Source organism: Homo sapiens, chromosome 6 (genome assembly GCF_000001405.40).
Source record: "Homo sapiens chromosome 6, GRCh38.p14 Primary Assembly".
Taxonomy (NCBI): domain Eukaryota; kingdom Metazoa; phylum Chordata; class Mammalia; order Primates; family Hominidae; genus Homo; species Homo sapiens.
Genome location: NC_000006.12, coordinates 114,265,140 through 114,288,825, shown reverse-complemented (window position 1 = coordinate 114,288,825; position 23,686 = coordinate 114,265,140). Strand labels below are relative to the sequence as shown.

Genomic DNA, 23,686 nt, shown 5'->3' with positions numbered 1-23,686 from the left:
TATTGGACTGAATTACTTTTATTCGATTCTTAGGCACAGACTATATCTAACATCTAATCATTTCTGGGAATGGCAACAAAGGCAAGCAGGTGAGAAATTTTGGAAAAGAGTCAGTATAGAGATAGCATAAATGCCTTCTTCATGAAACCTTTAGTAGTCAGATTGGTCAAGTACCTCACAAAGCTCATGGATCTGGTATCATACATCTATATCTACATGACTCTCTGTCTGCTGCCTATGCACAGCAGCTCAGAGCTCCAAGAGCAAGGATTCCAAGAGACAGTAAGTGGAAGGTACAAGTCTCTTATGTTCTTATGTCCTTTTTCATTAGAAAAAGGAAAGATAGCAAATAATTTATTTTTTGGAGCCCTCTTTAAAATGTTGCTGTCTGCCTGGCTAGCATGCCAATATACTAGTGATATTTTTAGAACCACATGAAAATCCAAATATAATATAATCGCAGTTCATAAAATAAAATGTACCATTGCATTGATTTTCTGATTTGCACTGTGTAGAAACTTACCCAGTGAATTTTGCCATTCAATAATTGCCCTTTGGTTATCTCTCCTAAAGAGTGTATTTTATGATACACTATTAATGGAGGAAAAGATTACTCTATCAAATGCTGTTTACCTGTTGATCACACTGCTGCTTTACATTACTTAACAAATATTTTTGCATAGTCCTAATGGATTAATTATGCATGTATATTCTATGTATTATACATTGATAGAGATAGCTATAGTAATTCCTGACTTTCTTAAGCTACACAGGAATAAAACTCATTTCTTTACACTTTTAGCGTATATGCGAGTGGATATGTGTGTGGTAAAATAACATCTTCACACATTGCTAGTTTCAGTAAGATAAAATTTCAAGGACGATTCCCTCTTAAGTTTCTAGGTGGTAGAAGATAAGATGCTGGACAAAGGGGACATTCTCATCTTACTACAGTGTATCACACAATTAGGCACTTTATGGGGGATTTTATGTCTTCTGCTAAAATAGCCAGCATTGGACAATTTCAGAAATAGGATATTGGAATGATCAGACCATTGGTCGGTTCTGCTATGGTAACTTGTTTGCCTAAAGAGGGTGATGTTTGTTTGATTTGAATACATGTCAGAAAATAGAGAGTGTTCTTTGTTTCAGGCTTCTTGAATCATCCCGTGCCAGAAACAGCCATACCACAAGATTTCTAGCAAGTCAAAATGCTTCTTTTTCACCTTCTGTGATAAGAGATTATTTAACAATGTCAGAAGATATTTGTAATATGTTACATGGATTAAACAACAGGTTATAAAACAGTATGTACATTATAAATTATAGCCCTTTTATGTTTTACACACAGAAAAAGACTTCATGTGGTACAGTTGTGGTTATGTCTCCAGCACAATCTCTGGTGTAGTTCAAAGAGCCCAGTTTTAAATCCCAGTTTTTCCACTTACTGGAGATGTGATCCTTGACCCTAAGCAAGCTACTAAACATTTCTGGGCCCTAATTTCCTCATTTGCGAAATGGAGACAATGATAGGGTTTGTAAACTAATGATTAAATATATATAAATAATTAGGAGAGTGACTGGTACAGAGTAAGTGCTCAATGTTATTAAAATTATATTACTGCCATGAATGCATAATATTAATAGTACTTATCTTTGGATAATTACCTTAAAAGTGATTTTTATTTTCTTATTTATAATTGTCTGTATTTTCTAAATTGTCTAAAATGCACTTGAATAAAGGTTATGTTATTCAAATAAGAAGAAAAAAGGCGAGTACACTAATTTATACAAGACACCTTCAAGCACAACTTCAGTTATCTTTAACATCTAAAGAGAAACTACTCTGTACCATTCTAATTTTTATTTCATTTTTACCTTTCTTCTTAATGCATTAAAATTGGAATGTTACTAAGTTACTAACATCTGAACAGCTCCACAAAAGTAAGATTAGCAGACAAAAATGCGAGTTGTTTTTTTCTTAAAATATTATTCATGATAAATATTAAGACAGACTTTTATCATTTGTTGTAACTTCATAGGTTTCTTTTTAAAATTAATTACTTATTTCGTTCTAATGTAAAATGAACCACAAGAAAATGAGAAAAGCAAAATTGTATGCTTGAGGGAAAAAAATTTAATAAGTCACTGGTAATTCAATGCTAGTTTGTAAAAGGGAAGGATAGATTTTAACAATTTTCTTATACATTTAATTGGAAAGAAAAACAAGGTTCTTTGTGGTACAACATAAACATACTTACTTTCTCTTTTTAATTTGTTAAGCAAATTAATCAATATAATATGATATATGTGGCTAATAACCATTTAAATCGTTTTTAAATTTTATATTGGCAAGAACACTTAACATGAGATCTACCCTTTTAACAAATTTTTAAATGTACAATGCATTATTGTTGACTAAGCATAATGCTGAAAGCACATCTCTACAACTTATTGATCTTGCTGGACTAAAACTTTATGCCCATTGATTAGCAATTTCCCATTTTTTCCTCCCCTCAGCCGCTGATAATCACCATTCCAGAGTATATGAATTTGACCATTTTATTAAATTTATTAATTTTTTGATAAAATGGATAATTTTTTGATAATCACCATTCCAGAGTATATGAATTTGACCATTTTATTAATTTTTTTCTTAAAAATACTTTTCTTATTTTCTTATCAAAAACAGCATTACATGTTAATTATGGAAATTTTATTGAAAAGTAGACACCGGGAAAGGAGTAAGTATCACTTGTTATCCAACCTCTAGAGATTATGGCATTAGACAGTTTTTGCATATATCTTTTCATTATCTTTCCATACGTGTATATTTCGATTTTTTTTAATAAATGGGATCAGACTGCATGTGGCATTTTGGAACCTATTTTGTTCATTTAGTGATGTCTTTCCAAGTCATTAGCAATTGACTTCACCACTATTTGCGATGGCTTCATGAAGGTTCATAATTAAATGTACTATAATTTTTTTAAATTTTATTTTATTTTAAGTTCCAGGATACATGTGCAGGATGTGCAAGTTTGTTACATAGGTAAACATGTGGTTTGCTGCACCTATCAACCCATCACCTAGGTATTAAGCCCTCCATGCATAGCTATTTATCCTGATGCTCTTCCTCCCACCGCCCTCCCCACCCTGACAGGCCCAAGTGTGTGTTGTTCCCCTCGCTGTGGAATTTGACCATTTTATATACCTCATATGAGTGGAATCATGCAGTATTTATCTTTCTGTGATTGGCTAATTTCACTTAGCACAATGTCTTCAAGGTTCATTCATGTTGACACATATGGCAGAAATTTTCTTCATTTTTAAGGCTGCATAGTATTTCACTGGACGTATACACCACATTTATTTAAATTTAACTTTTAAGTTCAAGGGTACATGTGCAGATTTGTTATATAGGTAAACTTGTTTCATAGGGGTGTGTTGTATAGATTATTTTGTCACCCAGGTAGCAAGCTTACTGCCCATTAGTTATTTTTCTGATCCTCTCCCTCCTCCCACCCTCCATCCTCCAATAGGCCCCAGTGTATGTTGCTCCCTTCTGTGTGTCCATGTGTTCTCATCATTCAGCTCCCACTTATAAGTGAAAACATGCATATACCACATTTTTAATACATTCATTTGTTGACGACAGTTTAGGTAATTTCCACATTTTGGCTATTGTGATAATGCTGCAGTGAACATCCAATGCTAATATTCTTCAAGATCCTGATTTCAATTCTTTTGGATAAATGCCTAGCAGTAAGATTCAGCATTCAGATATTTACTAGCTAATCTATTTTAGTTTGTAAAAATGGCATTTGCTTGAAAATAGCGTACAAATAGAATATCCTAGCCCCTTAGATAATGGGTCATATTATATAGACAAATGAGCTGAAGATCAATCCAGATTTTAGTGTGATGGATATTTTCTCAGTCTTTTTTCTCCTGATTTAATTTTATTAAGTTTAATAATTTTCTTCTCAGATTTAGTACTGTTCTACTCTGATCTATATGTATATATTCACATATATATGAGTGTGTGTGGTGTGCATGTGTGTGTTATAAGGAGCAGCTTGGAGATTCACTTTTTACCTCTACAATATAACTATTATGACTGTAAACTCATGTTGTAATTTTACTTTATGCCGCTTATTATGGAAAACAATATAAATATTTGTAACACTAATATTAAAGAAGGATTTAGCTCTTCTTTTCCCTGGGTTCCATGGTCATAGATCCAAATTTTAGGAGGTGGAAGATTCCATTCCCCTTGGGTTGTGGTTGAGGCAATGCATAGTAGAGAGTGGTCATAAGGTTTTCTGTGCCAAGTTGTGACTAAGGCTAGATCTTGTGGCTGAGACAAGCTTCTCAACCTTCAGCACAATTACTTGAGAATAAAAGATTTCATAACTAGTTTCTCACCATGAAAAGGAACTCACACAAAAAAAGTTTAAAAAAATAGATGACTGTAACAACTCTCCAACTAGCACAAAAATACATTCTTGGTAAAATAATGTCTCGATATGAAAGCCTTTGGGTTTGTACATTGTGAATGGGTTTGTGAATGAAGAATGGATTTTTAATGTGAAAAATGAAGCCAAAATAGACTTAGTATTAAACTTTAAAATACTTTAATGGCTTTTAAGTTCCCCTATAAGGTGGGCCAAGCATTTTCTGAGTAAGGGCATATGAGTATATAATCATTTTATCATCTTTAAAGGAAGGTGTATTTCCTTTTTTCCTTAATGTTGAACATTTAAGATTAGATTCCTGATCAATTACAAGGCACACATATAATTAACATCCAGTGACTAGACCTACGTGGAATGGAGATAAACTCTGTCTGATAAAATTGGGTGACTCCCTCATCAGTTTTTCCTGCCTCAGATATATGCAATGTTATTTCTAATAAGTTCTTCCTCTCTGTATTTCCTGCCTAAATAATCCACCTGCTTCTGAAAAAGATTTGGGGTTCTTTTTGCAAATGTATCATTTTTTTGATATCCTGAATCAGTTTCTAATAGTATTTCTCAGCACAGGCAATAAATTTCACAAATGCTCTGTTTATTAACTAGAAGAATTGCACATCTCATTAGGAATTTTCAAGGAACATATTTTTCTTCCCTGTCGTTTTCTTTTTTCCTAAAAGAACAGATTCACTGTGTAGGAATGGAAGATAATTTGACTGTCTGCATTGTGAACTTGGTAACTTATTTTTGTAAGCAAACATTGGAGAAAAACTTCCAAAACATTTTTATTTAACTGAGTGAATTGGAATGTAAACTAAAGATGATGTTTATTTTATGACATGAAAAAATAATAATAGCAAAAATATGTTAATTTATATTACTTTATAATTTTGAAAATAAACTTTGCTGAATATAATCCTATGTGATTTTTGTAGTCTTGATAGCATTTATATTGTTACTAAGCTGCCAAGAGGTCTTACAGGTTATTAATGACAAACCAAGCTTAGAAGTTATGATTACTGTCAGTGCAATGATATATATCATCTTGATGGTGATTTTGGTTATAAATAAATCATAATGACAGCTCAAAACCTAAAAAATTAGAATAAAGGAAAACCAAGGTTGGTATTTTAAGCAAATGATGAAAAACCTAATCAAAGACTGAAATCTAGACTTTGGTATTTAAACAGCATTCATTCAACTAAAAATTTAAAAATAATTTTAAAATTAAAAAATGGTATTCTTTTATTTTTTCCTGCCCTCTCTACTGTCTTTCTCTCCCTGTAGCTTCAACAAAAAATATCAAGAATTCTCTTATTGATTCTATATTAGGAGTCAAACCAAATTTATAGCTTGGATTTGAAAGAAAAATGTTTAGAAGTCCTGGAACTCTGACTACCAAAGTATATAAATTATGTCACTTCTAGTAAAAAAACTGTTTAGGGAAAAAAGCTTTTTTCTACGTGAGAAACTTTAGTTGAGAGATTATTTTGCATGTGACTTCACATACTTTCTGTAAGAAATTAGCTACACTAAAATCCATGATTTATTGTTGTCTAGCTATGTAAAAGCTTACCAAAGTGGTCCTTGGTTCCTGCCTTTAATAATGGAAGAAAGGGGAGGGAGAAAGGATAGGAGGAGGAAAAAGGGAGACAGAGAAATCAAATTTGTGGAAAAAGAACAGTTCCAAGTGCACCTCAGTGGGCCAAACAGAGCATTCAATACAGTGTATTAACATGGGCTTGAATAATTCAAACTTTCAAACCACAGGAAGAGGCTTTCCAGGGGGAGGAAAAGTCACCGTAATTAAAGCTTCGCTGGCACATGGAGGCAGCTGTATCCTCCGACAGACCGAGAAAATTGGACATGGCCTAATAGCCTAAGAGAACGGGGATGCTGTGGGGTAGCATTGTTTGAGAAGTGTTAGGTTTATTTTGGCGTTCTCCAATTATAAAGTCAATTCTCTGGATACCAGCTTCTTTTACATATTAATGGTCTAACCCTTGGCATATGGCAAGAATGCAGGATTCAACTCAGACTGCTTGAAAAAGGAATAGTGAGTTCAAAGATGCAAAGATGCCAGCGGCTGCATGTTACATTTTTGAGAGGTAGCCTTCAAAGTAAACAAGAAAAATGGGATTTTTTATGTTAATATGTGATTCATTTTAGAAAGAATGTTTCTTCGCTTAGTCTCTCCACATAAGATACTTACAGGTTTCCAAATATTATATACATTTATTATACATACCCATAAACTCATACATACACATACAGTTTCTGAGTTTTATTTAAAGATTATTTCAGTATATACTTTCTTTTCCATAGCAAATTGAAACGCCTACCTCAACTCGCTGCTTTAAAGTGTTCAAAAATCCCAGTTGTTTTTGATTCATCCAAATGCCAAGACTCATCAGCACCTTGCTTTTTTTGTAAAAGGTGCTTATTTTTCCCCTCGAGTGCACTTCCTACTTGAAATTTCCTGCCGTCTCCCAATGTCTTCTGCAAGGATGTTAATTGTCATGCGTGTTTTCTGGGGATTGAATACAGCAAAGGGTTTATCTGAAATAAACAATGCAGTGTGTTCCTGGGGCCCTTGCCAGACTGAGAAAAGCTAAAACATATTGCGGTGTTCCCTTGGGGATTTCACACCATGCCTGGACTAAGGAAGGTGGAAAAAAGAGGGTAGCAGCAATATGTCCTACTTCCTCTTTTTCTTCTTGACAGCAGAGTTTAAAAGCTTACCTCTCTCTCCAAGTTTGATTTCCCACTTCCTCACTATCCCTAACATCAGTGTAGTGGTGAGCTGTTTTCCATGTGGCCACAGGTGATTGGAAAATAGGCTTGGAAAACAAGGAATCCGAAGTCTACATCTCCAGGGAGAAAAGAATTTTATTGTTGTCAAGCTATGTAAAAGCTTACCAAAAAGCATTTGTAACCTTTTAAAGAAACTTTTCACTACATTTAGGACAACCTTTAAAACTATCAGGACAAAAGTGTGTTATACAGAACCATCATTCCAAGAATTAGATCTGACACTATACAACTACACTGGCATACTTTGTAAAGTACAGCTCATTTAAAATCAGTTATTTTAATTGAAGATTCTTGTTACATGTTATTATGTAAGTTATACTACGGACTAAGGATGCGGTAACATGAAGTAAGTGAAACACTGAGATACATTGGAAGGGATCAGAGATGGAGATATGGTACGTTATTTGGGGAAATGGTCTACCATATCCTAGAATATATCTTCTTATTCTGAATTCCAAAATTAAATGGTATCGAAACTCTTACTTTCATGCTCAAAATCTGCTTCTAATAAGAACTTGGCCAAACTTATAAGGCTTATCTTTCTTATAAGCCTTACTTACAAGGCTACTATCTTATGTTAAAGAAGCAGAAGTGTGTGCCCTCAAAAGGTACCACAAACCCATTGACGTGAAGCTTACATTTACAGATTGCAATGTTAGTTCGATGATGATTTGAGGTTTTATGAATTTATTACTTATTTATTACTTCAGCTCTGTCTACAGCTGAAGGCGCCCTACTTTGGTTTTAATGCTGAATCGTGAATAAGCAGGTCAGATTACCTTCAAAGGCATACAAATTGAAATCAGATCTCTGAAGGCTCATCCAAAGGAGAAGAGATGAAGTCTCTTATTTACTGCCTTTAGAAATATCTTACTTTTGAATGGGGAAAATAATTGTACTGAAATCAACTTTAAATACACCATTTATGATGTGTAAGGCAGCAAAATGTAGTCAGAAGTAACTTAATAGTTTAACATTCAGTAACCATCGTTATGCCACTGGAATGAGTCTTTGACGAACTGGATTTGGAATAACTCCTGCTGGCCCAGATTCTCTTTCCCAGCAATGTGTCCCTCTGCCTGTTGGAAGAGGGCGTACCTCCTGAATCTTAGCCTGGGGCCAGAGCCCTCATCTTACCTGTTGAAAGGCTATGTGATGCTGACCCACAGTCTCCTTTCAGGCTCAGCTCACTAGGCCCCTGTTAAATCTTTCTTAACTTTCATGGCTGCCATCTCCTGCCCTGTATCACCCCCTGTATCCTGGGGTAGAGTATCCCATTGTGCTCAGGAGCAAGTGAAATCACCCTGAACAATTTTACCTTTTCCACATTCTTTGTGTTTTCTTTCCCTCTGCCTGGAATACCTTTTTTCCAACATCTTCCCCCACACCTCATCCCCCACTCTCTCACACATCTTTATCCTGGAAAACTCTCACTTTTTTCAGGTATCACTTAGATATCACTTCTTTGGGAAGCCCTCCCAGGCTGGCTTGGCCTCCCTTCCTGTATCCTTTCCTAGTTCCAGTACCATGTAATTTAGCTTTGGTCCCATTTATCATTCTGAATTAGAATTACCTGCCCATTTCTGATCTGTATGGGAACCTTCCTAGCTACTCCATAATATTGGAGGTCAGGGAGCAGGATTCACCATGATGTTTCTACCACTTGTCTTAGTGCTTCTACATAGTAATATCTCAGTAAATATTTGTTGAATGAATGAGCACACTGTTTGGAGCCAGCTTGTCCAAAATCTCCCAACTTCTGGAAGGTAGCCCTTCCTCTCCCACCAGACCACTGCCCTGCTGCAAGAGACATGTCCTATATCTGGTACTCCTACTTCTGCTCCTTCCTTTCAAGGTAAATCCAGCCATACCGGGGCCATGTCCTGACCATAATGAGGAGGTTTTCAGGAAGCAATAAAATGGGGACAGCCTTCAGGAGCTAATAGAAATGTGGGGACTGTCCAGAATAGAGAACACCCCCATTTGGCATTTTTATCATTTAGATCTCACTGCAATTGCAACAAAAATCTGGGACAGCTTTGTTAGATGCCATCACCGCATGGTCTAGATTTAGAACTGTGTATAACACATAAAGCACAGATTCCACCTATTTTTCTCTAAATAGAAAGAACAGGTTATAAAGTTGAAATTTTGCTTCTGTGGCAGAACCCCATGGTGCAATTTACTGCTCCTTATTTCTCTTGTACTATATTAAGAACAAACACGATTTATAGGGCATTTCCTGAAGCAGCACTTTTACATTTTAGTAACATTGCATATACTTGCTTTTGCTTGTACAGACAGAAATACATTCCTGCTTTCAATTCAATGCTGATAAACACACAAGCACACACATCTAAATATTGGCATAGATGCTGATTTTTTTTAAAAAATACGAACTTGGAATATTCCTGAAGTTTTAACATACTTAAGTAGCTCCAGATTTCTTTGTCTAATTGCCAACTAAAGAAATTGACTACTTGTTGCCATTAAAGGTTGATTAGCAATCCTATAGTTTACTGCCTATTTATCTAAGTGGAATTGATGCAGTAAAGTAGAAAAAGAGTGAATAAAAGGAGTTTTCTTCTTGAAGTGCTTGATTCTTTACCAAGCTTGGGAGCTTTTCCTGAGTGGTGACTTACTGATAAACTGATTGTTAGCTGCATTCTGTCGTTTGCTGTGGAGAACACATTTCCATCTGGTTTTCGAAAGGAATCCTTTGAGATCTACATGTGTGCATGAAATTATATGCAGAGAAAAAGGTATGTTCCCCTAGCCTTCGTCTTTTTTAATATAAATTCACTCAGAGGTTCTTATCACTCCCTGTCTGTTTAATTTCTACTTCAGCAGTGTGCTTCCTCTCACCCAACCTGCCCTCAGCCTTTGGCTTTCTGGAAATTAGTATGCAGTAATCAGAATGCAGCTGACCAAAAATTAAAACCCTGGAGATTTATTATGAGTTCATGGTCCCTCACTTTACTGGACTTTTAAAGAATACTGAAGTATCAGTATTTTAGAAATAAATATGAAAAGACCTCACATTTCTCTTAATTTCTAAATTCTCCTCCACTTTCATTTTATTTTGTTGGACTTCACTATTTATTTGGGAGAAATTTTTCTGTTCTTTTTGACTCTAACCTTCTAAGAATTGTTAAATTTGCAAGCAAAATTATGCAGAAAATGTAACCTTAAGGCAGAAAAATTAATAATAATGACAAGAAAAAGAATAATGCTTTAAATTGCCTACATTCAAATTCAAGAAGTAGAAGAATTGAACAGCAAGGATTTCTATTGATTTTGACATTTATTTTTTATTACAGCATGGTGTTCATTTATGGAGCTATATAAATCGCATAAGAATAATTGAAGAGCACATGTAAACCTGCTCCTTTGCCCCTTTTGGGTTTCCTCCCTCATGACTTAACCCGAATGTCAGGAAGCAGCTGTCAGTCATGAGTGGCAGTGTTTAATCACCTATTGTTTCTCCCACTAACCTGCCCCCTCAAAGCCCATCGCAGGTGGCCTTCATCAAAGGTAAGTAATGAGAACCACAGAGCTTTGTCATCAGTGATAATTAGGGTGACCATTTCATGTTTGGAAAATTTTAACATACATTTTAAAATGACAGAGTAAAAAAAATAGTCATCTTTTTGTTCCTTTGTAATTACAACTATAACCTCGACAAGGCAACCTGCAATGAGAGCATTCTTGCTCAAGAAGGGATATAAGAATAACTCTCTGGAGCTAACTCTTTTAAAACGACCTTGAATAATATCTGCATATGGCTTTTCCCGAAGTTAGTGAAATTTCCACATGTGTACTCAAGTACGGAGCAGTTTAGAATACATTCCCTTATCGGGAACTATTTCCCCTTCCCTTTGCCTATGAAATAAATGTTTTGTGCAAGAAGCATTATAACCCATGAATGTATCCATTAACTCCAGAGATACAAATGGAATGGGAAAAAGGAATGGGGAAAAAGTTAATATTTGCATTTATACAAAAAAATTTATGACTGTTATAATTACTGTTACTGTCTGTATAACTTCTGTTGTAAGCAGCAGTGTATTAGGTTGGTGCAAAAGTAATTGCGGTTTTTGCCATTAAAAGTAATGTCAAAAACCGCAATTACTTTTGCACCAACCTAATATTTCCTCTTGTAAAGAAGCAAAAGAAATATAATTTATTTTTTCCTTTTCCTAGTTCTGCTTATTACTTATCCACCATGGGCAGACAATACCATATTGATACTCTAACTCAGAAGAGCCACTCTTGGGTTACAGAATTTAAACAAGAATTAAATCAAGAATTAAAAAAAAAAACAGCTTTAATAATGTATCATCCTTATAGAGGAGGAAGTGATTCTGCAAATATTTGAAACGTTAACCTGAAAAACCATGAATCTTGTGGTATGTGGTCTTATAAACAAAACAAACAAAAACCCCAAAATACTCTGACTATAGAATTTCCATTGAGGTGAGAGAAAGTCAGACTGGGGAAAGGGTAAAGCTGAAAAGTCATATTGATGTTCATTCTTTGCCAAATGCACCACTCCCTTCCTGTTGTAGCTTCCTAATGCAGCCAGATGATCATAATATCTTCCAACAAGATCTAAACTAATCCCATGCTGACCATCGTTCCATTATTTCCTTACATAAATACAAGGATATAGGAAAGAGCAAATATTTTATGCAAGGTAGGTTATGTGGATCAAGTAGGAAAAAAGGAACAAATGCATATGCTTGAAAAATAGGCCTTTTGTGCCAATTAGACCCCAATTGTTGCTGTAGAAACTGTCCTATATTTTATAAAATATGAGTTAAAGAGTAGAAAATTGAAAATGGAGTGCTGAGTCATTTAATATATTTCATCTGGAAACTTTCACCAAAATTTGAGAGTTTTTTTGTTTTTTTGTTTTTTTTTTTCCCACACTCTCATAGCTTTTGGAGATTTAGCTGTAGCAGGTCATGGGCTAATTTATGTAAATGGAATTTGTACTCATACAAAAAAATGCTTTTTGCTTTTTAATAGCTGATCAGAAGATTACTCTTATTATGTGTAAAAGCATGAGTTACCCATTGATTACAAAGATACTGAATACTTATTCACTTACGATGCCAATATTTAAATGTTAATTCATTTAACCAATAAATATATAAATAACATTTTATGTGCATGGCATATGAAGTATTATAAGCACATTCAGAGCAAGGTATTAATTATTAGCATGTCTTTTACAGCGTAGTACTCTAGGATGTCCAATGAACTGAGAACCCCATAGGTCAATGATTCTAATCCCAGCTCTCTCACCTTGAGAGTCACTTAATTTATTTAAACTTTGGTGTTATTAAAGAACTAACATAAGCATAGTAAAGGGTTTCCAATTTCCCCCCTTGCCTTCTATGTGCCTTTTATTTGGGGTGGGGTGGGAGGGCAGCTAGCCACCTCTCCAGCCCCATAAATTTTGACCAGCCTATAAACAGCTGTCAGAAAATAATTTTCGGGTGGTGTTTGAGATTGTGCTAATAACCTCAGGCAAGGGGCATGGAAATGGGAAAGGGGCCCAACCTAAATTTCCATTAAAGTTGAAAACTGATGCCTAAGCCCAAACTACGAGGACTTTTTCCTATCACAGAAGTCAGCAAACTATATAGCCTGTGGGCCAAAGACCTGCACCAGGTTTTGTACATCTCAGAATTGAGAATGGTTTTTATACTTTTAAATGGATGGGGAAAAAATTAAAAAGAATAATATATTGTGATGTGTGAATATTATATAACATTTAAATTTCAGTACCTGTAAATAACGTTTTGTCAGAACACAGCCATACCTATTCATGTGCTGTGGATGGCTGCTTTCATGCTATAATGGCAGAGTTGAAGAGTTGCTGCAGAGTCCAAATGGTCAAATAACCTAAAACATTTGCTATCTGGCCTTTTACAGAAAGTTTCCTGATCCCTACCCTATGCTATAAAAACCCTAACCTTGTTTTAGTTGGGAGCCACCTGGTCATCATGTACTCCCTGATGCACATGTGCTGACAAAATCCTCCATGTGAGTCACTTAAATCATTCCCTTTTTCACAGTTTCTGTATGTATTGTAAGCATAAAATATATACAAGAAGGTGTTAATGTAAAGTTTAGTAACACTGTGTGAAGCACTAAAGAGAATGCTTGGCACAAAGGGACAATGTTAGCTACTACTGGTATTTAGTTGTATAATTAGTTATATGTTTATTGACTTAATAAACATATATTATGTTCTTTTTATTTATAGTTTATAGTCAGGGAACTAGTAGGTGCTAAGGAGCATGAAGATGACTCTGACACATTCTCAGACTCCAAGGTACTTAAACTCTGGAACATACCTAGATAACAACAAATGCAAAGTAGAATATTGAGTCATAAAGAATTGTAGATAAAGTATTATGAAACTTAGAAAGCAAGAGAGGGGGAGAAGGGAAGTCAGGGAAGGCCTCTAATCCCAGCTCTGTCACCGTGTATAGTCAGGTGTATAGTTGTGTAGTTGTATACATAGTTGTATAGTCAGGGAACTAGTAGAAGGGAAATCAGGGAAGGCCTCTAATCCCAGCTCTGTCACCTTGTATAGTCAGGTGTATAGTTGTATACATAGTTGTATAGTCAGGGAACTAGTAGGTGCTAACGAGCACAAAGATGACTCTGACACATTCTCAGACTCCGACACATTCTCAGACTCCAAGGTACTTAAACTCTAGAACATACCCAGATAAATATTTGAGCTGATCTTGTCCTTCACCTTGCTGCAACCACTCTTAAAGCCATAAAGTCTTCAAGCTTTCTCATGTCCAATACCTGAATATCCTTTATAATCTCAATTTCAAGTACTGCATCCTTAACTGCCACTTGTCTTTCCATATGGCTCCCTTTATTATTCCAATTTCAGAAATTTCTAGAGGCCTGTGATCCATTGATTCTTTATCTTTTCACTGTCACTTACTCTTTTATCTTTACTTTACTCCTACCAGCTTAAGAGTGTCATTCAAATTAGTTTCTTCCTTATAACCTCAGTTCCATCCATAACTAAACACAACTCCTAGTTTATGTGAGGCCTGCTCCCTTGCAGACCAACCTTTCTAGAGAAAAACACACAACCGTGCTGACTATTATCACTTTACATTGGTGATCACTAACTTCAAGGGATCCTTAGTGCTGCCCAGAAGCCATGGTATATTTCCTGAGTCCGTCATCAGCCTCTCTTCTCAAAACTCCACATATCTTCTCTATTGTCTCTCTCCGCTGATCTCCTTTCCTCTTATTTCATTAAAAATAGAAGCATCAGAAGAGAACTTCCAAAGATTTCACCAGCAGAACCATTTGGCCCCAAGCCTTTGTGCCTGCATTCTCTGTCTTCTCCTCATTACTCTGGGTGAACCACCCATGCTTCTACCTGAGGCCACCATGTTGTCACTAGATCCCATTCCCTTGTACTTACCCATGAGAACTACTCCACCAGTTCTCCCCTCTTCATGTTACACCATCAAAATGTCCCTCTCTACTAGATCTTTCCCACATATGTAAACATGGTTATTTCTTCCATCTATAATTTCTTTCTTCTTTGCCCTACTTCTCCCTTCAGCTACACCCCAATTTTTCTTTTGCCTTTTAGAGTAGAACTTTTCTAAACAGCTGTGAGGACTCTATCTCCAGTGCCTCTTCTCCCCTCTCTTGGACCACCCTCCCCAGTCAGGCTTTCACCCCACAACTCCCCTGAAACTGCTCTTTCAGCATCACCCATAACTACATCTTGCACATACAGAGGTCAGTTCTCATTCCTCATCCAATTTGACCTATTGGCATTTGACACAATCAGTTACTCCATTTTTCTTGAAACACTTTTTGTTTGCACTTGACTTTCAGGAGGCCATACCCCTCTAGGTTTTCACTTTCCTAACGGGCTGCTCTTTCTCTGCATCTTGTTTATTTCTCCTCATGTCCCTAACCTCTTAGAGTGTCATAAGGCTCAGACGCTGGATGTCTTTTCTTTCCTCTTCTCACTCCTTTAATGATTTAATCAGTCTTATGGCCTTAAATACCATCAATAGGCTGATAATTTTCACCTGGACCTCACCCTAGCGCTCCAGGCTCAGATGCAACAGATTATATCACTTAGATTCTAATAAGCATCTCAAATTTAAAGATCCAAAACAAATCCCAATTTTTCAGTTAATTCTCTTCCAGCACCTTTTCCCATCTCAGTAGATGGTAATAGTGTCCTTACAATTGCTTAGGACAAAAGGGTTTTTCTCTCATACTTTACATCTAATTCATCAGGATTACCTTGTTGGCTCCATATTCAAATTTGACCACTTACCCCCTTCTCCACCATTATCACTCTTTCTTTTGCCACAATAATCTCTCAATGGCATTATTTCATATCTTTCTTTGTCCTTTCCTCTGCCCTTGTTCCCTAAAGTTAATTTTCAACACAGCCAGCATGATCCTTTTAAAATTAAATTTAATCGTGTCACTCCTTAAAATCCTCCAATGGCTGGCCATTTTACTCAGAGTAAAAGTAGAATCCTGGCTGTGACTTGCAAGGCTGCTGTCATTCCTTCCCCCTCTCTCGTATGTCTCTGAATGTATCTTCTGCTACTCTTACTTCACTCCACTCTAGTCAGACACTGTCCACTTTGTGTCCTCAAATATTTACACTTTAAGGCCTTTGCACCGGCTGATGCCTGGCATTTTCTTCCCTCTGTTATCTGCATGCCTTGTTCCTTCACCTCATTGATCAAATGTCATCTCAGTAATTGCCCTGCCCTGCATGTGTTGGTAGAGAGAAAGGAATTTGTAGAGGAATCCCAGGGGTCTTTGTGGAGGTCCCACGTGGATCCTGGGCTGAAGGCTGGGCTCAGGGAGAACTCTCCTGTGGCTTAGCAGTAAGTGACTATGTACTATGGAGTTGAAAATGGAACAGCAGCACTGGAAGACTTTGGTGTTCCATCTTAGGCAGGTTAACATCTTCGCACCTTGTAATCACCTCCAACATCTAATGCAACATTAGAAAGGCTATGCCTTAGGTTTAGTACCATACCCTTCTCTGCAAAGCTTAAAAACATGTGTGTCAAGATTCCTTAGAAGGGGAGATAATCTTTCAAAGTTAAGTCTTGCCCTGTTAGAGGGGATTGAGAGACACCTTGACCTTTTTACACATCTGTCCTAGACAATGTCAAGGTGATCATCCAGTAATTAACTGCCTACTAGAATAAAATGAACACTCCTCAAAGGGAGAACACAGACTCCAGAACCTTTACAACATATCGTCTACCAAATCTAGGATTCAATCCAAAATTCTGTACATGTAAAGACATAGGAAAATGTGGCTAACAATAATGGAAAAGAGTTAATAGAAGGTGACTCTTAGGTGACCCAGAAGTAGGATTTAGCAGACAGACTTTAAAGAGCCTATGATAAATATGTTCAAAAAATTAAATAAATATATGTTCAAAGAAGTGTAGCATTAGGATATGGTTGATACAGTGGCTCACCAGTGTCATCCACTATCCATCCAACACTGTCATTTTTCTGCTTTGCTAATATATTGAGAACATATTTATAGCATGCCAGGAAAGATGGAAGATTTGAGAAAAAGAAGGAGGACTTAGTGGGCCACGGTCCTCCTGCAGACAGGTGGCAATCATAGAGTGGAAAATGTAGAATTTGTTTTGGAAAGGAGAGGAGAGAATTCTTCCTCTGAAGTGAAAGAGAAGGAGAAAATGAAAATATTTATCTTAATACAAAGGCTTATCTTAAATATATAGCTTAAGGCAGAAAGAATACTAATTGGGATGTCATATTGAATGAATTCAATCATGTGGGAGGCAATGAGGGGATAAAATTGAGGAAAATTTTTAAAAAATAGGATACAATTGTAAGGGAAGAGATACTGAGTCAGCAATAAATAAACTAGATTTTTGCTTTAATTTGAAGTTGTAACTTTCTTCTTAGGTATAGAATATATATTTCTGAAACATAAGCCTCCCCAGAGCCTGGATTAATTATATTTCTAATTTATTAGAAATATAATTTCTGTTCATCCAGGGCTAGATTATATTTCTTAAGAGCTGTTTGATTTCTACTCTAAATGAATTTGTCAATTCATTTATTTCATATATACATAATCTCACTTACTGTGTTTAAGAATCTCCAAAAATTATAAAAGAGAAACAGGAATTGGTAGAGATTAGTAAGAAGAAAGAAAAGAAACCAGGGAGTGGGCCTGATGAGATGGCAAAATTTGGTCTCCATGATCAATTGAGAAACAACATACACCAGAACTGAGCAGCAGAAATCAGCAAAGGCAACTGGAAGCCAGGTTTTAACTACTACAAAGAACTTTGTAACAATTAGACCTGTCCAAGTGGACTTTCTCCTATTATTAGTTAATGGAAATACTCAAGCAACAGATAGACATCATGTCTCTGTGTTACTTTAGAGGAAATTTATATTGTGAATGGTATTTAATAGACAGCCTCTAAGATCCCCTCTGATTCTACGATTCTATGATAACCTATTATAATAAGTCTACTTGGGGCATTTTTAAAAAAAAAACATGGAACCTAAACAAAATTATATTGATTTAATTTCTTTTTTCTCCACTTTTCTGTGATAATTGTTAATCTGCACCACCCATTTTTGGTAATATTGCTTTTTATATGGCTAATCCCAACCCTTTTTATTTTTTGTAATGAGAACAAGCTTTCTGAATTCATATTCAGTGATAAAAATGTTATGACAGAATCATAGGCTTATCAACTTAGAGCTGGACAAAGCCTTAAAACTCACACAGGCAGACCTCCACATTTTTCAGGATGAAAAAGTAAGTCCTAGAGAGGCTAAGTGTGCTACCCAAGTTCACGCTGCATAGAACCTCCCTGCATCCCATTCCAGAGCTGTCTCTACAGCATATGCTGCCTCCTGCCCATTTAAGTCAATTTAAATGAAGCTTTCTGCAGTGTTTTTATTTAAAATATGTAATTTATTTCAGTACTTTAGGATCATGTCAGATGACTAGGAGCATGCATCAATTTGTACCAAAATGAAATTTTATAATGCAGTCTAAAAATGCAATTTATTTTAGCAGTTTCCTCTTATACCCGGTTTAAAGATTTTTTAATGGATTTTTTTTAAAAGTTCCTTCTTATATTTTCACTGAAATGGAAATCAATGAAATCATAATACTTTGAAATAATGGTGTGGATGGAATGTTTTCATTTGCAATAGACTAATTAAATTACTTATTTTGTCATTATAACTTGCCTTTATATTAGCAAAATTGGCAGTCTGCCTCATTAAGCTGCATTTGAGAAGGGCATCTTCTTTTTTCTCATTTACTAATTCAGAATACAAGAATTCTCAGCATCATATCAACTTTTCCTGACATCGTCCACAGACCACTCTGGTGCCAGACGACGTGGTGCCACCGCAGCTAATCTGATTAAAGCTCAAAAGCTAAATAGTATCTGGTAATGCTAGATCAATACTAGCACTGGAAGGGTCAATTTGAGCATAAGCCCAATGTTTTCTCCTCCCATTGACTGATCATGGAGGCATAGATGATGGCCAAAAGTGACTGATTACTGGATAAATATTAAATCCATTATCAAGCCAGTGAAAGGCTGTGTGAAAATGTGAGTCACTCTAGCCCTGAGGGTCTTGGTTTTGTCATCTATAAACTGAGGGGATTGGACTATATGATCTCCAAGGATCTTCTAGTCTAAAATTATATTAATGAACCTACAATAGCCCCTGGGGTGTGCTGATAACCAGAAATTGTATGGGCAGCCGCCAAACAGCACACATAGCCAAATGGACTCTTGTATATTTCATTATTATTTAATCTCCTTTCTAAGGTTTCTACCCTTGCTTCAATCACCAGAGAAAATTGAGTATGTTGGGAATGAGCTTATGATGCCATATGGTGGAACTGAAGGGGGAAATGGCTGTTGTTTTCTAAATACACTGAGTGCAGTGGTTCTTCAAATTTTATGGTTAACCCTTTGAGAATATGATGAGAACTATAAATTGTCCCTTCCCAGAAAATTACACAACTATTCAAATTTTGCTTTAGCTTCTAGAGCTACCTGAATCTGTCTCCCTTTAAATATCCCTGGTTTCATGCATGGTCTTACATATGGTGGGGTTTTCATAGAGGTACCATAATATGATAGAAACAGGATGAGCACTGAATCAGATCTCCACTCTCTGTTACATAAAGCTGTGTGATATTAGGTAAGATGGTTAATCACTGTGAGTCTGTTTTCTTACCCACAAAATGGAAAGATAACTCCTTCATCACAGGATTGTGGGGTTATATGAGATAATATGTGTACATTGCCTAATACCGTGCTTGACACATAGGCATTCAACAAGTTTGTTTCTTACTTCTTTTCAAAAATGTGACTAGCTTATACTTTAGGTGAGGTTTTAGAAAGCAACTAATGAACTGTTTTAGAATCATAAAATGTTAAGTGTTGGAAGGTAGCAGTCTAATAGCCCATAACATCCTTAACCCTTATCATAACTTTCGCAACTTGAGATATTGGAGAGCTAGCATGAGGAATGGGCAGCATCTTCAGAGTCCCACCACCTCCTCTCTGGCATTCAGTGACCTTCTGTGGTCAGCTCTGCCTCCAATGCAGGGCTCCATCCAGACCAGGAATGACCTCAAGCACCAGCCTCCTCTCTTGCACTTGTCAAAGCCCATCTATCCTGTGTTTCCATCCCTCTATGCCTCACTCTCTCACCTACTTTGAGTTAAAGTGCTAACAATGAATAATAAAACACTCCTTACTGCATCTCCCTTTTAACTGCTGCCTTCAGTTCTTGTTATACAAAGAAATGACGAGCTGCAAGAAATGGCCTAACTGTTCATTTCTGAATTGTTGCTAATCTATCAGCTAGCTATGAGTATTCCTTCTTTCATATTTTGGGAAAAGAAGAATGATAATTGGTCAGCGCTCATACTGTATTACACATGTCTCTTCTTGTTGCTGTGTTAGGATGAAAATTAAAAAGGAAACAGGTTTAAAGTATTGATTATAAGAAATACTAGGTAAGGGCCCTCTTAGGAAATATATACTGTTTCCATCCTTTGTAGTTATTTTCTATTCCTCAAAGTCAGGAGGAAGAGCAACAATGGCAGAGTTAAACTGGGCAGATCTGAGCTGGCTACCCTTTTAGCTTTAGTGCTTCTTATTCCAAGAATAAGAATACCTTCTATACCAAATCTCTAAGAGAACTGAGTAAACCCGTATACCTGATACATCTACACTGCATTGTGGAGGAGTGGAAACTGCACAAATGGTGGCAATGAAAGCCATCCAAGAACTTGGGGTGTAGTATGAGTGCCTGAGCCACAGACAGACAAAGCCACAAGGCCAGTGAACCAGAGGAGGGAAGTCCCCTGCCCAATCATAGGTTGAGGAAGTGGGCATTCATGGTTGTTTGGCAGAAAGCTCACGATGTATATGTGGTGCACAAACTTAATGTTGCGAATGCATATCTGTACACAGGGAAAGATGATAAATTTTGTAAATAGATTTTTTTTGTAATCATTAAGTGTGTCCATAGATACTTGGATCATGAGAACTAGAACAGGGGAGGTTAATAATAAAAGTTTTTCTAGGAAAGATATCCAAGAAAGAAGTCTATATTTTCTGAAACTAGTGACCCGGAATTCGAGAAAGAGTATACTGATGTAGATACTGTACAAAAACCAGATTGCTTGTTCTACCTGGCTTCTGGATGCCATGGCCCACTCTCTCAGGCCCTCTGGAATTCTAAAGACCAACTGCAACTTGGCCAAATTGGCTGTTTGGTTGGTTCTACTTGTTCCCTGGATTCAGCAAATTGTTCCTCTGTTCAAAATCCCTACCTTATAAATAAAGAAGTAAGTACTCCAACTCTAGACGCTAGATTTATGCTACCCCGATTCTAGGAAGGGTGCTTGTGCCTTGTGTTCTCCATATCTGATTCTCTGCTCAGTTCTCTGGGATCTGTCATCTGCTTCACCCTTCCTCACCTCCAGGCCCAGAGCACTTGGGACACCCTATTCTTAACATCCTGCATAATGGTGGGAAGTGGTAGGTGCTAAGCACCTCTTATTTTTAGCTGTACATTAGCCCTTTTATTGGTGCTTCTTGTCATGGCAAGTTACAAACAACCCCACCTGAAGATTTTCATCTAACAGATTCCGGCTTCAGTGGAAATTGATCCCCTTTAAAATGGGTACCTTTTCTTATTGAAGCAAGTAGCTAGATTATTAATGCAAAAATAATTTTATCACATAGACTCATTTTTATCACTTCCATTCTTATCATTATTAAATTAGCCTTTAATAAATCTTTAGTTATTTGATTTTTTTCCCATACCTCCTGATAGTCCAATGTGTTTTGTGTCACGATTGCCATTTCTGAGATTCCCTGTCAAGTCAGAAGTGACTATGTTTTGGGCAAAGGCTGGCATTTTTGTATGTGTGTGCAGAGGCAAGACAATAATAAGATGCAATAAAATGTGAGAGCCAAGTGTTCTCTGCAGACATGAAAACAACAGGTACCAAAAAGTGTATCTTGAGGGCAACCAAACATATTTTTTGCAATCGAAACTGAATTTTCCCCCAAATATATTTGAACTTTGAACTAATATTTGAGTACTGAGTATGAACCAGAAGCTTAGCTTGGCCAACCACTTTAATAATATCAGAAATAGGTGTTCTGTAAACTTTTTAGTGCCTCTTGATCAATAAAAGTTAGAGCAAACATATTATTTGCAAAAAGCTGGTACTTGTCACTTACCACAAGTTCTTGGTGATATATATGTCTATGATGAAGAAAAATAGTGGCAAATTATTGTTCTTGAACCTGCATAAGTATTAATGTTGTTTTCTGTTCTTCGTAATTTGATGTACTTCTGATAATTTTTGAAAAATAAACCCACACATTGCATTTTAAAATAAAAAGTGACAATCAGCAATTGTTTTTTCTTGCTTCTCTCATGAACAGACAACTGATACAGAGAGTTAGCTAATGCCTCACTATTTAACTTAGCAAGTTTGAAGTGAAAAGAGAGAAGTTTTGACTCCATTTACTTCTCAAAACTAACTTTATATAATTTTATCTTAAATTTTTTGCCAAATGTTTCCTAATTTGTTAACCTTATCTCTGAATTCAAGCATTTTTCTCTTAGTCAAATTCAGGGCATCAACAAGCCTAAGAGAAGAGATACAAATACGTGATATATAGACAAGTTTTTCATCATTGAGTTTATGATAGCAAAGGTCTACAGGCAATCTAAATGTCATCAATAAAGAATGAGTTAAATAAATTTTTGGATATGGCATCGGTAGTTGACAGTATCATTAACTGAGAGAACAGAATATAGGAAGCAAATCTTAAAGCAGAGTGTGTGATGAATTCAGTTTGGGATCCTTGAGTTTTAGGTTCCTGTGGGATATTTGGGTGAAACTGTCTATCAAGCCATTGGCTATAAGATCAATTTCTGAGGTTGGAATTAGGTTTCAATGTGGGAGTCATGGACATATAAATGAGAGTTTATTCATAAGTCCAAAAGAGATCACCCAGGGACAGCATGCAGCAAGAGAAGAAAAATGAACCAGAGATAGGGTGCTGAAACACACCAAGAATGGATTGGCAGGGAAGAGATGCCCCAAAAGAAGTTTAGAAAATGCATTCAGAAAGGACAGAAAAGAACCAGGAAAGAGAGATGTCATGGAAGTCAAGGAGTAGAGGGAATAAGTAGCCAAATGTGTTAGGTATATTAGTAAGATGAAAATTAACAAATCTTCATTAGATTTGGTATGAAGGTCATTGGTAATCTTGGCCAGGGATTTTCACAGGAGTCCATCCTTTTGCTAGAACCCGTGTCCTCTTGCTTGCTTAAAAACTTGCCTCCTTCGGTTTTCCCATCATTCTCCTGCAACACAGCCTTTCTTTGACTGGATTATTGCCATCATAGTGAGCTTCTATCTTCAAACTTGACCCAGGCTCTCCCTCCAGCCACTACGTTCTATCTCTGCTTTCACAGTGAAGCTACTTGAAAGAAGTGTTTGTGTATGCTCTCCCTGCCATCTAGGATCCAATTCACTCATTAACCCACTGAAGGTTAAGATCTGCACCATTACCTCCCCCAGCTTTCTGCCAGTAGCCTTCAAGCAGCCAAACCCCACACACGTGTTTTAGACCTCTCAGCAGAGTTACACATCATCAACCACTTTCTCCATTTTGATACATTCTCTTCTCTTGTGACACCATAATCTTTTGGCACCCTTTCTGCCTTACTAACAATTCTTCCTGGCCGGGAGGTGGCTTAAACCTGTAATTCCAGCACTTTGGGAG

At 36.4% G+C, this 23,686-nt stretch overlaps 1 protein-coding gene and 1 long non-coding RNA gene across 11 annotated transcripts in view, besides 1 other annotated feature; one reads left to right on the top strand and one right to left on the bottom strand.

The window, feature by feature from the left end:
- The window catches only part of HDAC2-AS2 (HDAC2 and HS3ST5 antisense RNA 2), a 371,029-nt gene that overhangs the window by 51,904 nt on the left and 295,439 nt on the right, over window positions 1–23,686 (bottom strand). The gene's annotated exons all lie outside the window — the stretch shown is intronic.
- Window positions 1–23,686, top strand: part of HS3ST5 (heparan sulfate-glucosamine 3-sulfotransferase 5) — a 287,428-nt gene that overhangs the window by 54,198 nt on the left and 209,544 nt on the right. The window lies entirely within an intron of this gene.
- Window positions 6,185–6,686: an enhancer, noted in NCBI's record as "NANOG hESC enhancer chr6:114603304-114603805 (GRCh37/hg19 assembly coordinates)". NCBI's record gives its function as "activates a minimal SCP1, AML or CMV promoter by ChIP-STARR-seq in naive H9 embryonic stem cells {active_cell/tissue: H9 hESC(naive)}" and the evidence as "EXISTENCE:reporter gene assay evidence [ECO:0000049][PMID:30033119]".